Raw genomic sequence first — 17,646 nt, 5'->3', positions numbered from 1 at the left:
TTAGTTATCTTAAAAAAAATAAATAAATACCAGAATACATTTTTTAAAACCTAAAGAGCCACTGTAAATAAATATAGCTGGAGATCCTTTTTACCCAAAGACACAGAAGAAAACCTCATTATCTGGCTGCTTGAGAGCCCTGGTGTAATCAGCTTCCCAATGTCCCATTCCAGTCAGATACTTCACTAATCTAATTGCACCCTGGGCCAATGGGCTACCCATGTCCTGACTTAACAAATAACACAGAAATACCTCTGGATTGTGACAAAGCTTTATCTCATACTTAATGCTGCCAATGCTGTTTCTGAAGCTTCATGACTCTGTTACCTGTCTGGAGACATTTCTCACATTTTTGTTCGGCCCTGAACTCTGGTAAAATTATGTAATTGTTATTCATGGTTCACTATCTAGATCTCCGAAGATTCAGCTGGTCATTGTACTTTATTATCCAAATTTATATTGTAATACTAATGATACCAAAAGTCAAGCACTGAACAACTTATTTACTTACTGATAATTTCTTATCTCTGAGAACTACTACTTTAGACTTAATTGCAATGAAAAGGGAAGAACTATTTCAAGGAAGAGCTTGTGAGAGAATTTTTGGAAGTCCATGTTAATGTTAAGCTCATAATTCCAAGCAAGTGAATGAAATGTGGCATGGATTTTAGAGACAGAGATTTAAAAGATATGTCTATATTTATATGAATAACCATTGGGGTGTGTGTGTGTGTGTGTGTGTGTGTGTGTGTGTGTGGTGTGTGGTGTTTGTATGTGTGTAGCAAAATATGGTCCATGGGTTAAAACTAGCCCACTGCCTGATTTTGAATGGTGAGGTAAGAATGGGTTTTTTTTTTTTACATGTTTAAATGGTTGAATAAAAATCAAGAGAATATTCCATTAAATATGAAAATTATAGGAAATTTAAGTTTAAGTGTCCATAAATAAACCTTTCTGGAACACAGGCACAGTCATTCATTTAGGTATTGTCCATAACTGCTTTTATAGTATAATGGCGGTGAGAAAGTGCAATAGAGATCAATGGTCCACAAAGCCTATATCATTTACTATAGAGACCTTTACAGAAAAATTTCATCAACTCCTGTCATATATGATGGCTCAGCATAAAATTCTAAAATCAATAATGGTTTGGGACACCTCATCTATTGAAATTATGAATTACTAAAGTAAAATAATGATCCTCCAAACTCAGAAAACACTACCAAAGAAAAAATTAGAAAATATCCAAAGAAACACAAGAGTTATACAAGCATTCTTCAACCTTAGAAGTGACATACATGGCAAGAAACAGTATAGAAACATGGCTCAAATATTTAATAAATGCTCAAAATGAGATAAAATAGACCAAAAAACAAAAAATTTAAGGACACTTCAAGATCTAATTTAGGTATGGAAAAAATATTAACTAAGGGATGATCTTCTGTTTGGTGATCATGATTATCATCAGATAACTGAGATGAAACAGAACTTGAATCCTGCTTTTGCCTTCTAGACACACACACACACACACACACACACACACACACACACACAAAATGTTGAAGCGAAATGGAAAATCAAATATGATTAATAAGAAAAATCAAAGCTCAGAAATTAATGAGGACAATGAGTCACTTTAAATAAGTCCAGGTATACATGACCAATAGATTACAGCTTCAAGGCTTGTAAATATTATCACAGAACCACAGCTGATAACCTTGGAAGAGTTACAAAATAGAGGAAAACAGACATAATACATAAGAAGGGCAAATGTTCTCTTATTTTTTTAGGTAAAAGGATTCTAGAAAATGAAGATCAGTGAGCATGACACTATTCCCCAACAAAATTCTAGAGCAGGTTATTAAACAGATGGTTTGTGAGCACTTAAAAATTTTCTAAAAACCTGCCATAGACATGTTAAAAATAATCCATGCCAAACCTTGTTTCCTTTTCTGACACTGTTACTAGATAAGTAGATCAGAGAAATGTCTTAGCTGCACAATATCTGGACCAAGAAAAGTATGGAGAAAGTCTGTCATGGCCAACTTGGAGTAAATCAACTTACTATTTGTGTAATTTTGGACAAATTTCTTAACAACTGGGGTGAGAGGCAAATTTTCATGGGTCTCTCCTGTTTCTGCATGTCTTGTTAGCAGAGGCACTGGCAGCTTTTGTTCTGGACTATCTTTTGTCTAAAAAACAGCCTTGGAATACCCTCTGAAAGAAAGAGTAAATTTGCTTACAGTTCATCATAAAAGACTGGGCTTCCTAAACATGGGGTTCCTCATTTGTGACACAACTTGTTGAAGGTGAAACATCAACCCAAACCACCCTACAGAGTTCCTGTGGGACTTGGGGGACAAGAGCACAAAAACAAACATGAAACTCATGCTGCTTGCTATAATATTAGTAACAGTCTTGTCTCTGACTCAGGAGTCCTGTGTTTCCTGAGCATCAACAAAACATGGGCTGGTTAATTTGCTGGTTTGCAAATAGAGTAAATCTCAGACCCTTCACAGTTGACAATCTGTGACTCAGACTTGCCATTCATAAAATGGGGATAATAACATTCTTATAAAGAGATTATGAGGATTAAATGAATTTGTACACACAAAGTGCTTAGAAAAGTGCCTGCTTAAGCTAACTGCTCAATAAATGTTAGCCATTAAAATTTCAAATACATATCAGTAGCTAAACAATCACACCCAAAGGACTAATGACAAGTGAAGGAGTACACCCTTACTAGAAATGAAAAAGGCTCTATTCTTAACCACGTTTTGCTCAATATTTTTAAAATAATTGAGCAAAACTATGAAATGTATTAATCACAATTATGGATGACACAATTGCTAACATAAATAAAAGAATTAGAATTTCTTCAAAATCTTTACATGCTGGATAACTGAACTTAAAAAACAAAAATTTAATGGAGATACAAATCTTACTTTAAGAATAAATTATTCAGATGGTATATAAATTGCAATTTATCAAAAAATGAGTTTCAGTTTCATTAACAATGTGACACATCTGTTAGAGAAAAATTGAGATAAAGTTTTAATATTTCTATATTAGGCAACACTTATAGTACGGTATTTAGTTCTGGACACAACATTTTAAAGGAAAACTTCAGCAAATATGGATTTTTAGCAAACATGAATATTAATACATAAAGAATAAGTGAAGAAAAGACTTCTTCAGCATAGAAAAAATTCTGAGGAAATGAAAATTTTTCAGATGTCTAAAAAGTTATCTATGTAAAACATCCTGTGTAAATACAAAGCACAGAGCTAAAAATAATGGTTGATTCCAATTCACTGTAAGGAAGAACTTTGTATCAATTAATTTTTTTCAAATATTAGACATTACAAAAACAAGTTCTTCACTCATGGCAGGTTTTTAAAAAATAATTTTTATTGTGCGTTTTTAAAGTATACAACATGATATTATGGAATATACATAGACAGTAGAAAGATTACTATAGTGAAGCAAATTAACATATTGATTACCTCAAGTAGTCATCAATTTTGATTTGCTGGCAGGACCAGCTAAAATCTTCAGTTAAATGAATCCCAATTTTATTACCCAAAACCCTCATGTTGTATATTAGATCTTTAGACTTATTCATCCTACGTATCTGTGACTTTGTATCCTTTGGCCTACATGTCCCCATTTCCTCCCCAAGCCCCATTCCCACAAACACTATACCATTTTATATCAGAGACTTGAGCATCCTTGGATTCTGGTGTCCAAGGGAGGTCCTGGAACCAATGCTCCGCAGAAACCAAAGGAAAACTGAATATACCACAGTTTCTTTATCCATTCATCTGTTGATGAACACTTATTTCCATATCTTGGCTACTGTGAATAATACTGTAATGAGCATGTGAGTACAGATATCTTTATGGGGTGATCTCATTTCCTTTGGGTATATGCCTAGAAGAGGGATTTGTGGGTCATATGATAGTTCTATCTTTAATTTTCTTTGAAACCTCCATACTGTTTTCCATAATGGGCATACCAATCTACATTCACACCAAAGCGGACAAGAGGTGCCTTTTCTGCACAGAAGCACGACATTTGTTATCTTTTGACTTTTTGATAGTAGCCATACTAACAGGTGTGAGATGATACCTCACAGTGGTTCTGATTTGCATTTCCCTGATAATTTATCATGTTGGGCACCTTTTCATATACCTGTTGGCCATTTCTTTGTCTTCTTTGGAGAAATGTCTATTCGGGTCTTGTTATTTTTTAATCTGATTGTTTCTCTACTGTTGAGTTGTATGAGTGCTTTTTTTCTGTTTGTTTGTTTGTTTGTTGAGACAGGGTCATGCTCTGTCGCCCATGGTGGAGTGCAGTGGGCTAATCACAGTTCACTGCAGCCTCAACCTCCTGGGCTTAAGCGATCCTCCCACCCCAGCCTCCTGAGTAGCTGGGATCACAGGCACAAGCCACCATGCCCGGCTAATTTTTGCAGTTTTTCTAGAGACATGGTTTCACCATGTTGCCCATGTGATCCCACTCCTGGGATCAAGCATTCCACCTGCCTTGGCCTCCCAAAGTGCAGGGATTACAGGCATGAGCCACTGTGCCTGGCCTAGTTATATGAGTTCTTTTAAAATTTTGGATATTAACCTTTTACCAGAGATAAAATTTGCAAATATTTTTCCCAGTCTGTAGACTGCCATTTCACTTTAACTGATGCCTTTGCTGTGGAAAAGCTTTTTAGTTGTCCCATTTATTTATTTTCGTTTTTGTAGCCTGAGCTTTTGGTGTGACTTCCAAAAAAAATCATTGCCAAGGCCAATAGTCTTTCTCCTATGTTCTCTTCTAGGAGTTTTATAATTTCTAGTCCTACATGTAGGTCTTTTATCCATTTTGAATTGACTTTTGTATCTGGTGTAAGATAAGGGTCCAATTTCATTCTTTTGCATGCAGAAATCCAGTTTTCCCAGCACCGTTTATTGAAGAGATTATACTTTCCCCATTGTGTCCTCTTGGTGTCCTTTCCAAAAATTAGTTGACCATTTGGATTTATTTCCAGGCTCTCTATTCTGTTCCACTGGTCTATGTGTCTGATTTTAGGCCAGTACTATACTGTTTTGATTACCACAGCTTTGTAATATAATTTTAAATCAGGAAATGTGATGCCTCCATCTATGGTTTTTGAAAGTCATCAGCCAGAGCTAAGGTAATGAGGATTCCCTCCTTCATGTTCATATGTCTTTACACTGTGCACAACTGTCCCTAAAAAAACAAACCCCTGGCCAATTTCTCCAGGCTTATCGTCTCCCCGGTTTCTGTTACATTTCAGCTTAGCATTTTCAAACTAACAATTTGTTCTTGGCAGCCTGTCTATATATTTTATTTACCTCTCTTGTTATCCCCACTTTTCATGCTCTATGTCCCATAGGCAATTTGACAAAGACTGCTTGACAAAGATTCCTAGACTTCTATCTCTACCTCTCATCTGACTTGGGCGGAAGATTAGAAAATTATTTCATGATCTCAAAGTTTCCTTTCAACTCTAGGATTCTTCAATTATTTGTTTTGCCATTAACAGAAATTGATCAACACACAATGATTCAGGAATGAATAAATAAGTGAAAGAACATTATTAAACAATTGATAATGAGCTTCTTCTGTAAGAACTAGCAATCTGACTGGGTCTTATATCAATCAGTCAAATAGATGACAAGGAGTGCAAATGACTTGAAAAACAAACACCTGTGGGAATAAGGAAAGGCAGTATGAGAGCAAAAGAGAGGCTGGGGTGGAAGTGGGAATGGAAGGTGGAGAACTATGGTGAAGACCTCAAGATTAAATTCTTAGAAAGTATTAACCAGTAAAATCTCTCATTTTGTTTATAAGCCAAGCACCTGCTAATAAGCCTAAATGTAACTTAAGGCTATATAAAAACTTACTTGAATGAAAAATAAGAGGAAGATTCTAAGCTCCAAGGAAAAAGCAACTATATACTTGCAAGGGCAAAAATGATATACACAACAATATAAATTAATCTCAAATGCATTACGCTAAGTGACACAGGCATGACTCCAAAAGCTACCTACCTTATGACTCTATTTACATAACAGACTTGAAAAGACGAAACTATAGAGACATAAAACAGATTAGTGGTTACCAGGAACTAGATGGTGGGAGGAAGGGTTGAATAAAATCCCTATGAAGAAATCTGAAGGATTATACAACTATTCTGTATATTAAGTGTGGTAGTGATTACACAGCTATATGTTTGTCAAAAAATAAAGAACTGTACACTAAAACGTGGTGAATTTTACCATATGGAAATAATCTTTAATTAAAAAATGATGAAAGTGCTTAAAACAATTATAAAGATGAGTAATTAAAATATGGCTTGTGTCATTAATAAACCATAATAAAAGTAAATATTTTGAGAGAAAATTATCAGCATAATTTCTACAATAAAGTAATCAAAGTATTATTTTAAAATTAAATGTCAAATGTATAAACAACTTGCTTTTTATAATTAGCATTTCCACTGTTTCATGAATAGTTAACATGTAAACATAAAACTACTCATTCACATTCTATTTTTAAAATATCCTCCCATAAGAAATGTAATTCTAGGAATAAGAAGATAAACATTAAAATTTTGTATTACTTACATATTCTGTATTTTATTACCATATTCTAGAGTACTGTGCAACTGCACTTAAACTTTGCTCTTACATCGCCAGAAAAATGAGTTGTTTTTAAAATAACAAACCTTATAATAATGATGTTCCTTTAATATAATATGAATAAGCATGTGCATATACTTATTCGTATTTTAGAATTCTGCATCATTTCAGCCCAATGGGAATGAGATGTTTTCAGGACACAATTAGGAAGATATCAAAGAGAAAAGATGTAAAAATCTAATACCAATTAGAAATAAATTGCACTGTCGTTTTACTGTGTGTAGAATATTTTGAACATCGGACACGTACGATTAGGGATGGCTTGACGTTATTGAAAATTACAAAGAAGCAAAGTTAGAAGGGATAAAAGGGCAACTTAAAGGCATACTTTTCTGGAAGTAAAGGAATATTATAAACTGATCAAGACAATAACGTTTTAAAACCATTTTATTTGGGATAACAAAGTCAGACTGTTGAGTTAATTTCATTTTTAGTCATAGGAATAAACATTCTTTGTAACATTTAACAATGTAAAATGTATTGAAATGTATGAGTATTTGAAAGCTTACATCACTGCTAAAAACTACCATAATTATTATCCCCGGCTTTCCTTGGTTGTGCTGAATCTGCATAGTGAGCTGATGGTGACAAAGAAAGTCGCCTTCGCACACTTCATGAAGTATGTATATGTTGCATGATGTATATGTCACGTGATGGGGACTGGGAAAGCAAAGTAGGGAAAAAACAACCTAGATGAAGCTCTAAATATACTTTTTGGCAGACCCAAAGGGAAGAAGAAAGATGTCTCAAGAGATTTAGGTCAAAACTTCTTATGTGGTGCACTGTATAAAACCCCTGTGCCCTTCCCATTAAGCCAAACTACAGCAAAGATATGTAGTATTCCCACAGTTGGAGTTGTGTTTCCTTCTAATGTAGCACAATGCATAGACTGGATAATGTATGTCTGTGCATGTAAAGTCCATTAAAAAGGAGAGCTCTAATTTTAAAAAGACGAAGTTTATCAAACAGCTTATCCACTCCCCACTTGATTTCTCGACTGGTGCCACCAACAGCTAAATATATAAATGAGCACAGGACCAACACAACATTGTGAATAAATTAGTATTTATGGATGGTAATGATAGAAGCGTCAGGGAAAAGAATGCCAGGTGGATATTTATGTTTCTTAATCCTAATGTGATCAACTCCACATGCACTCTACCTTCTCTCATTGTCTTACCATTATGTCTAAATAAGGGGAGGGTCCATTTCTGACTGGGAAGGAGGGGAATGATCTTAAGATACCTATTAGGATAAGACAGCTGAAAAAAAAAAACCCTTTAAAAATTTAACTCAGCCCTTTGAGCTTCACTAGCAAAGTGACTGTGGTCATTTTTCTTTGTTTAAATAGTTTTTATTTTAGGAAATATCTTCTCTCATTCTTCAGTGTATGTTCATGGGGTATCAGGAAGAAAACATGTTATACAAATAGCTTTAGATTTGATTCCATGCATTTCTTAAAATGTTTTAATTGGAAGTAATTTAAAAGCTACTGTAGTATCTTTTGGAGGAAATGACTCACCCAATATCATGCAATAGTTATAGACAGGTATAGTACCAGAATGCAAGTCTCCCAGCACTCAACATGGATTACTCTTTATAGTAAACCATGCTGGCTATTTAACGATGTGGGATAATAACTAGATACTTTTCACAACTATTCATCTTCATTCTCAGTCTTATATGCATTATTATCATCATACATGTCCTTTAATGTAAAATTTCCTACTCGCAACAAGGAAAGGAGAGTTCACTGAGATTTGGAATAGCCAGGTCACAACATGGAGGACACTGGGCATTTAAGGGGCAAGGGAATGGGAGTAGGTGTGAGTTAATAGTTTTGTGGGTTTTTTTTCCCAACCTGGACAACATAGCGAGACCTCATCTTTATAAAATTTTAAAAATTTAGTGAGGCTTGATGGTGTGCCTGTGGTCCCAGCTACTGCAGAGGCTGAGGGGAGAGGATCACTTGAGCCCAGGAGGGCGAGGTTACCATGAGCTGTGATCACAGCACTGCACTCCAGCCTGGTCAATAGAGCGAGACTCTGTCTCAAAAGAAAAAAGTAAAAATAATTTTTTAAAAGAGGAAAAGAGGGGTAATTATGTATAAAACCCACTTTGCCTGGCTTCAGTTTCCCAAGGGCCACATATCACTAATGGTATGTCAGAATTATTTTCAGTCTGTGGAGGGGAAAAAGGAAAGAGAAAAATGAAAGGAAGAAAGGAAGTAGGCTAAGAAGGGAGACATTCTCCTTCATTATCAACAGAAAATATTATAGCCTCCTTTTCATATTCTCAAGACGTTTAGAATAAAATTTCTGAGCAAGTTAGTGCAATTTTAAATATGAACAAAGTATGTGAGAGGGAGATCTGTAGGGCATTATGCTTATATGAAAATATTTGTGTATTAGTGTGGTGTTATATGGAGGGCTGTATCACTTATTCATGACTTCGTATTCAAAAGCAATTTGAGCAAGCTAAACAGTGGGATTTTAACTTTAAAGACTTGGAGTTTTCATCAAATCACAAATCTTTAATCTGGTCTGTTTAAGTATATATACTGAAAAAAGGAAAGAAAACAGAATTTGTAAACTTACAGTATGTTTTCCAATGCAAAGAAGTAAAGTCATCTAAATGTGGTTATAAATCCCAGAAGAGATCCTGATTTGACCCATTTCCCTCCATCTTTCCCCATAAAAAATAACAGAAATACTTGGCTTGTCCTTGCTGTATTCATAGTTTACCCATTAGAAATATTTACATACACTTAATTCTATTCATGTTAAGGTATAATGATGAATGTTATGATCAAATCCATCAGTTTAACTTTCGGTAAATATTATTATATTAGAGCACTGAACTACTAAAAGTTTGTTGTCCAAAACCACAAATATTCACTCACAACTTTCAAAATTTAAGTGTTATGTTGTTTCTCAGATCAATAATTTAAAATATAGATTTTAAAATCTATATTTAAATGGGATATAGAAAATGGAACTTGAAGTATACTCACCTGAGACGAGGGCCATGACTTTGCCAGTAACGAACAGTGTTTCCCAATGTGATATGATATAAAATGGGTGTAGGATAAAAAAAAAAAAGTAAAAAGTAATTTCAAAGCAAGTTATGCAATGATATAGATGGAAGTAACTTCTTTGGCCTCCTATGAAACATTCATTCCTTCATTCGACATTTACTTATGGGGCTCTTCCCAAGTGCCAGGCACTGTTCTAAGTATTGAGTTAAACCAAAGCAAAACAAAATCCCTGGCTCCATGGAACCTACATGCCACTGGGGGAAAAGATGTTAAATAAACATGTTTTCTAAATGTCAGTTAATGATAGTACCATAAAGAAAAATAAAATATGGTAAAGGTAGAGTGATCCATGAGGATTTGTTACTTTATATTGGACAGTTAGAGAAGGCTTCTCTAACAAGGATATGTTTGAGCAGAGACCTCCTGAAGTTAGTGAAGATACAGGAGGATAGATCATTCCAGAGAAAAGCTCTGGAGTAGGAGTCAGCTTATCTTGCTTTTAGGAATATCAAGGAGGTTTATATGTCCACAGTAGGCCAAATGAGAGAAAAAACAACAAGACCTTATGTAACATCTATTTTATTCTGAGAGACATAAGAAGCTTTTGGAAGGCTTATACAAGAGGAACACAGACATATTTTCAAAAGATCACTCTGCTGTGTGGAGAATAAACTGCGGTGCCTGGAGGGAGAAGAAGCAGGATCAACTAAGTAGTTATTGCCACAGTTCAAGTAGGAGATGATGGTGTATCTGGCCAGATTGGTAGCAGTGGCTGTACAAACTATATGTATAGAACAAGATCATTTTTTGTTGCCATTTAGCTAAACTAAAGGTAGACTCCATAAGGAAAAAAATTGAAAACAAAAAGGAAGTGAAGAGTTAGCTACAGGCATACAGACATAGATCAACCAAATCCTGGAACATAAATTTGGGTGAGGTAATAGTGAGGAATGGTTCTTAAAGATGTTGGGGATCTTTTTTTAAAAAAAAATGAGATGATTTTATGACAGTCTACATATGTTAAGATGGTAAGATATTTGGATTAGTGTACTGTAAGTTTTTCCTCACTATCTGCCAGTGAGAAATTTTATAAGTGCTTTCTCCAAAATATGTCTACCACTGATTTTTTCCTACCCCTAAAATACATTTTAAGAAAGTTTTTTTTTTTAAGGTTGAGAAAAAGTTGCAAAATGATGGCTATCGTTGGGTGTGTATACTAAAATGATACAAAGCTAAAATAATAAAGAAAACTTTCACAGAGAATGCCATCAAATAAACATAAAATTAAATACCAGAAAATCTTTAAGATATTTCTAGTAGCATTCTTTCTTTGGGGAATTCAAAGTTAATTTCCTTAATCTGCTAAAAAAGAAAAAAAAATCTTTAAGACATTCTAATGGTATAATCTTATAGACTTCCATTAGAAAAATCTTCAAGAGGAAACACTAAAAACTTAAATAAATTTTAAATCAACATTAACAACACAACGTACATTTTAAGTCTTTCATGACAGAAATTAAAGCAAATTGAAGAACATTAATAAACTAAAAAAATGCTGAGATCTCTTAAACCACTGGGAATTCATTTTCTTCACAGCAATGTGCTTTTCAACATTTAAACTGTATTCACTCTTGTTAACGAAAATAATTTGCCACAGCAGAAAAAAAATGAAGAATCAGTTCTGTATAACATATTATACTTATCAATATAATGGGAAGGTATGTTCTAGATATACTTGGCAGATAGTAGGAAGAGAGAAGGGTACAACCAACCTCAAAGCTGAATTCAAGCAGTAGTTGAGTACAGGTCCAAGAATGTGTATTTCAATAATCAAAAAATGCAAAAGGTTGAACCTAAACCCCATAGATGATTTACGGAGAAAATGTATTTTTTAAAAAAGTTTAGATAGATTTAGTTAAATTGAGTAAATTTAACCATTCAAATTGTACTTGGCAAACTGGAAGAATGAACAAAAATACAAGTCAATTTAGAGAGAGTAAACAAAGTTCACAATTACAACATGAAACAGTAAAAGTGAATCCAGCTGTAAATCATTAAAATATAATGTATTAAAGATGAAATTGAGGTGATGTCAGTGTACTTTTAGAGCACAGATATACTCTGTTAAGTTGGCTGGTAGGCAAATATCTGTATAGATAAATACAAATTCCTAATCACTCCAATTATAAAATTGAGATTATACTCCTAAAAATAATTAGGCCAATACTTAATATCACATTTGAGGAAACAGCAAATCGCCAAGGCAACTATTTAAAGAAAAACTAGCTTTCATGAATATTACTACTGAAAATATATCACTGTATACCCTTAAATTTACTTTATAATTTTAATACTAAAAGTGTTGCAACGTAAGAAATCTAAATCTTCTCTAAAAACTCTCTCCAGCTTCTCAATATTCTACCACTAACCTCTTCATTAGGTCATACTATTTCTTTATGCTTCACCACAGCTAGGCACTTTTTTGTTTGTTTGTTTTGTCTGGGAAATTTAGGGCAGGAATGGATAAATACACAGAGCAGAGCAAAATAGTATATAAAAAATACTTAGAGGGAAGTAAGCAAGTGGAAGTACCCATTTATTTTACAGGAAAGAATATCTGCAAGAAAACAATATTCTATAGGGAAGAGTATCCTACAATATTAGTATTTCTGTTATTCAATAATAATAAATTTTCACATAACCAAAGCTGGGCTAAAAAAAAGTGATGGCATTTTTAGACAACCCTTCTAACTATGCTTAGCTGTTAAATATGTTACAGGGCCCACTTTGAAGTTCTGAAAATCAAATGAGGAAGCTAAAAGTCTAGAATACCTCCATAAGAAAGCAATGAAAATGACCTAAGCCTCATGAAAAAAAAAAAGTTCCAAGAATGTAAATAATTGTACTTAATAAAGACTATAGAATTGATAGGACTTTAGTCCAAGTACACTAAGAGATACATAGTTGAACCTAAGAAAATGTTTATTTCACCTAAGGAAGGAATAAAACTAAACTACAACATTTAAAATTTGAATTAGGCATTAGAATATTTGCAGACCATGAGCACTGGAATATGTTTTTTTTAAAGTTTCAAGCACAGGGATTACCTTTACAGAAGCTTTAAGAATATAAAGAGGAATCTTTCTGGGTTGGATTTATTTGAACTCTATGAATTAAGGGCTACATAAATAAAGTTGTTTTTGAAATCAGTGCTAATATTAAACTCTCATTAGGCCAATTTTAAGATACAGGCTTTCTTTTATCAAAGAGTAGTATGAATTTGGGCACTGGTTAGAACATTTTGGGTCCATTCATTTATGAATAAGACAACTACTATTTATCACAAAATTCAAGAAAAAAATAGCTTGAATGTGCCAAAAATTAATATTCAGCAATTGTAATAAAATTGACACTATTTCTGAATTCAACTGACTTACAATTTTGTCTATTAACAATCATGTTGAGAAAACTTCTTAGAGACCTGTGTGCTCAATCTCATTCTCTTCTTACAAGTTAATGGCCTCTTTCCAATTTAATTCAGAGAGGCAGAAAATACATGACGTTCATCATTTTGTTTTCTATCAGTATTATAACTAATAGCTGATTTAACATGACACAAAAACAAACAAGGGTGATGAGGCTGACCCAGATAGAAATCCAAAAACGTCACAAATAAAATCCCTTTTATGTAAATAAGTTTTATATCCTTCACATCTTCTGTTGAAATAAAAATGGTAAATAATTTCTCTGGCTACATTCACTATACTGTTACATGCTCTATGAATCTTAATCAAACCATGCAGTTATTTTCACATACTTCAATATACTTTTCATGAAGTATAATTCTAATATCTATGCAAAGAGACTTGTTTTGTGTGTTTGAAATTTTGTTTGTACAAAGGAAATATAACTTCTCATTACAGATTACCTGTACATATAATGTTCACCTTTTTCTACTTTTATGGTGTGCCACATACAACTATTTCCTCCCTATTTTAGGTTTCTAGAAAATTACAAAGGTTTATCTTATTTTTTTTTTAAGCAAAGCCACTGCAATATAAGAAGTGCAAAGAAATGAAACTCCAAGTACAGCTTATTCAGGTACAACCATTTCATAAATCTCTTCATATCATAATGTAATTAAGGGCCTATTTCCACCCGAGTATAAATTATATAAAAACAATATCCCAAAATATGAGTCAGGCAATTCCTAACATTATAAATAGTTCATAATTAATATATGTCTATGTTTCCTTTTATTGCTGTATTTATTCTAATATACACGGTAGTGGTAACATTTTAACAACCTAACTATAAAGTATTCATTGTACTTATATTTAAGTTGAATTAAAAATTATTCCCTTAAAAATCCTAACATTCTTTTTTGTACTTAAAAGTGAACTTTTAGATGATCTTTTTAAATTGAGTGTCATTTCTCACCTACAGGGATGTTTCATCAGGTTTCTAGTCTCCTCTTTCAAAGTTAGTATATTTAATCATAATTAAACATTTATTTCACTTAATTTTAGATAACAATGAAATAGTGTGTGTCGTAAGGAAGCATTTAACTAGACTGACGACTGAATATGAGTCTAGTTAGGCAATAAAAATAAAAGGAAAGAAGTTAAGCAGGCAAGAGAAAAGGGGCCTTTAAAAAGCTCTAAAGCTGATATGAAATTGTTTGGCCCTAATGATCACAGTGTACAGAATTTTATACCCACTCTTTTAATATAGATACAAATAAATCAAAATTGTAAGTTAAAAAAGCTCTAAAACTGATATGAAATTGTATGACCCTAACGATCACAGTTTATATAATTTTATACCCACTCTTTTAATATAGATACAAATAAATCAAAATTGTAAATTAATTGTGTTTAACAACATTAAACAAACACTACATTTAAAAATTCCAGTACACTGGGAATATACTGATCCATAACTCATAGTGACAGAAAAGATAAACAGTCCCCTTGACAACATAAAACATTTCCCAAGGTATGCCACAATGCAAACTTGAAGATGAAAATAACTGAAAGCTCATCTTTACTTCAGTTTTGACCTCTAACACAGACTTGCTATTAAACACATCTCTCTTGCCTCTGCTGCTGACTAAACAAACTATTTGAGTTAGGAGAGCCTGCAAAGATATGCCTTACAGGCAAACTTTTGTTTTCTAAAAGTAAATCTCTCCCAGTACTTCCAGTTGGAAAACGTCCACTTCAGCTGCTTGACAACAGGGCGTCACTTTCTCCCTTGGGCTTACCTGCTACTACTTAAGTATTCTTCCAAGTAGACTCTGGACATGTTGGGAGGTAGCTCTTTAAGCACTCCTGATCCACGATGACTACATATGCACACACCTTACACACTCCCACAGGTCCTTCGTACCCTTTCCCCCTCCATCCTCCTCTGAGAACTCACCCAGGCCACCTAGCGCACCTTGCATGGCCAAAGCCTGCCCACCAGGGAGCGAAGAGTACTCCAGGAATAATCCTCAAGATCAAGAAACTTACTGGATTTTAATATGTGGTGGGGAAAAAAAAAAGTGTGTATGTGTGTGGAGGGGGGGTTAGATGGGGGGAACAGGAGCCTTACAGATAGCAGCTATTAAGTGGTTTAAATCTGTTGGTTAAAAAGCTGAATAAACAAATACACACATGGGTCTAGGTCTTTGGGGATTCCGGATTCTGCGGAGCGTCCCAAGCGGTGGCCAGGTCGACCTCTCTTGACTCATCCCTGTGCAAAACGCGCACTGGCTCCGCTTTCCAATCCCCAGACTTGCACCCGTTCTTCCCCTCACGTTCCTTCTAATCAAAGCGTCACCCCATGCGCCAGGTGCCCTAAGAGACTTACCTAAGAGATTCCAGAGTCTGAGAATAGTGAGGGTAACTTTTCCTCCCTGCTCTAGAGAGGCCCCAACACCCACAGCAAGTGAGGGTCCACACTGAGGTCGGGTGTCAGGGCGCGTTGCGGCCTCGCGGGTGGGCAGAGGCGCGCAGAAAACGCGCGGGTGGCGCGCGCGGCCACCCAGTGGGTCCCGCCCGCGCCGCCGGCGCCGCCGCCGCCGCCGCACGTGCGCCGCCGCGAGCGCGAAGGGCGTTCGGACCCGCGCTCTGCCCGCCCGCCTGCCCGCCGGGGCCACTGTGGACTTCCAGGTAACAGCCAAGTGAGAAGCCCTCCCTATCACCGAAAGGTGTCTGCGCTCCTCCCACGTCCCCTCACCAAGTGCCGCGAGGTGCGATTTCACCCCAAACCCACCCACAAACAGCCAGGCGACCTCTCTAAAGCGGAATAAAAGTAAAACCAGGCCAGACACCGGGGGAAGCCGGTCGTGCTAACGCGTGGACAGGGAAAGGAACGCGATCAAGGCAGCAGTCATCCCTGTGCACGGTTATCCCGAAGCGTCAGTAGGGCCCAGGAGTTTCTTGACTCCAGAAACAGGAGTGTCCCCTTTCCATCTCTCTCCTTCCTGGAGAAGTACTTCTGAGATGAACGCTGAAGTGCCCAACTTAGACGCGAGAAGCGTGCACTTGCCCAACTGAGTAAATAAAGGTCAGCAGTTGGATCAATAAAGTGTGTGCTTCTAACCGCCAGATGTTTTTACTGTTGTTTCTCCTCCCGAGGTTGGGGGTGGGGGTGCGGGGAGGAAGGGGAAAAGACAACAAACAATTAAAAAGAAGAGAGTAAACAAACACACATCTGGTGTTTCGACACACATTCTCCTCCAGCCGAGGTCTCTCCGGACGAAGCAACATTTTGCATTATCCAAACTAAAAATCATCCGTGAGCCAACAGCAAATCTCCCCTCTCCACCCCTTTTTCCCCCATCACAAAGCAAAATGAAAGAGAACAACAAGTGGTGATGCTGGGTCCGGAATGCGACCCCAACGCCGAGCCCAAATTTGACACATGTCACACTCGCCCCGGCAAGCAGGGCGCTGCCTTTGGGGCGAAACTTTGTCGCCACCGCGGGAGGAGCGCGGAGCAGAGTAAAGTCGCAGCTCGGCCCAGCGTGGAGGTGGCTGGGACAGGGTGGGGTGCGGAGGTGTAGCGCGCCAGAGTGAGGGCCAAGAAACTTACCGCGACCGGGGACGCCGTGGGCAGCGTCCCGGGAGGTGGCACCCGCGGCGGCGAGGCAGAAGCCCCCAAACAACACACCCACGCGCGAGTCCGGGCAGCTGCTGCCGCGAGTGGGGGGCGCGCCCGGGGAGGGGGGGGGCCGAGGAAGCCGCAGCCAGCGGACGCGGCCGCCGCATAAATAACCGGGGCGGGCGTTCGCGGGCGGGCTGCGGGTGGCGCGGGGCTAGAGCTAGGGCGAAGCGGCGGCCGCGGAGCTGCACGCGCCGGCGTGTCTCGCGCTTTCTCGGAGGCTCGCGCTGTCTCGCGCAGCCGCTCCCCCCACCCGGATCTGTGTGTGTGTGTGTGTGTGTGTGTGTGTCTGTGTGTCTGTGTGTGTGAATGTGCGCTGGCAGGCGCGCGCACCCGGCCGCGCGCGCGTGTTGTTGGCAATGCGAACTGTACACACACTGCTCGCGGGGCTGCCTCTCCTCGGAGGGGCGGGGTGGGGGACAGGACGCCGCAGAGGATTCTGAAGTACCGCCGGACCACTTGTTTGTTTTGTTTTACTTTGCGTTGTTATTGTCGTTGTTGTTGTTGATAGGTTTGGAACCAGCTGGTTAGGATGCCTTTCTCCCCCGTCCACCTATCTCCCCCCGTTCCCTAACTTCTTTAAGGAGGGGGAAACGCGGGGAAGAATATTGTTCGGATTTGCAGCGGAGCCTCCTGGCTGACGTCAGGTCCACCTGCTATGTAAACAACCCGCTGGAGAACTTGTTTGTGCTACGCCAGACCTTCCCCCACCCCCACCCTTCTCCCCACCTCCTG

General features: G+C 37.2%; 1 protein-coding gene across 1 annotated transcript in view; it reads right to left on the bottom strand.

The window, feature by feature from the left end:
* The window catches only part of FOXP2 (forkhead box P2), a 607,439-nt gene extending 590,312 nt beyond the window's left edge, over positions 1 to 17,127 (bottom strand). The window contains exon 1 of the transcript NR_033766.2: positions 16,843 to 17,127. The gene's annotated coding sequence lies outside the window, so the exon portion shown is untranslated. The remainder of the gene's footprint in view (positions 1 to 16,842) is intronic.

The sequence above is a fragment of the Homo sapiens genome, chromosome 7 (assembly GCF_000001405.40).
Source record: "Homo sapiens chromosome 7, GRCh38.p14 Primary Assembly".
NCBI classification, from domain to species: domain Eukaryota; kingdom Metazoa; phylum Chordata; class Mammalia; order Primates; family Hominidae; genus Homo; species Homo sapiens.
The sequence above is the reverse complement of the archived record's forward strand: the minus strand, read 5'-3'. Positions and strand labels throughout refer to the sequence as shown.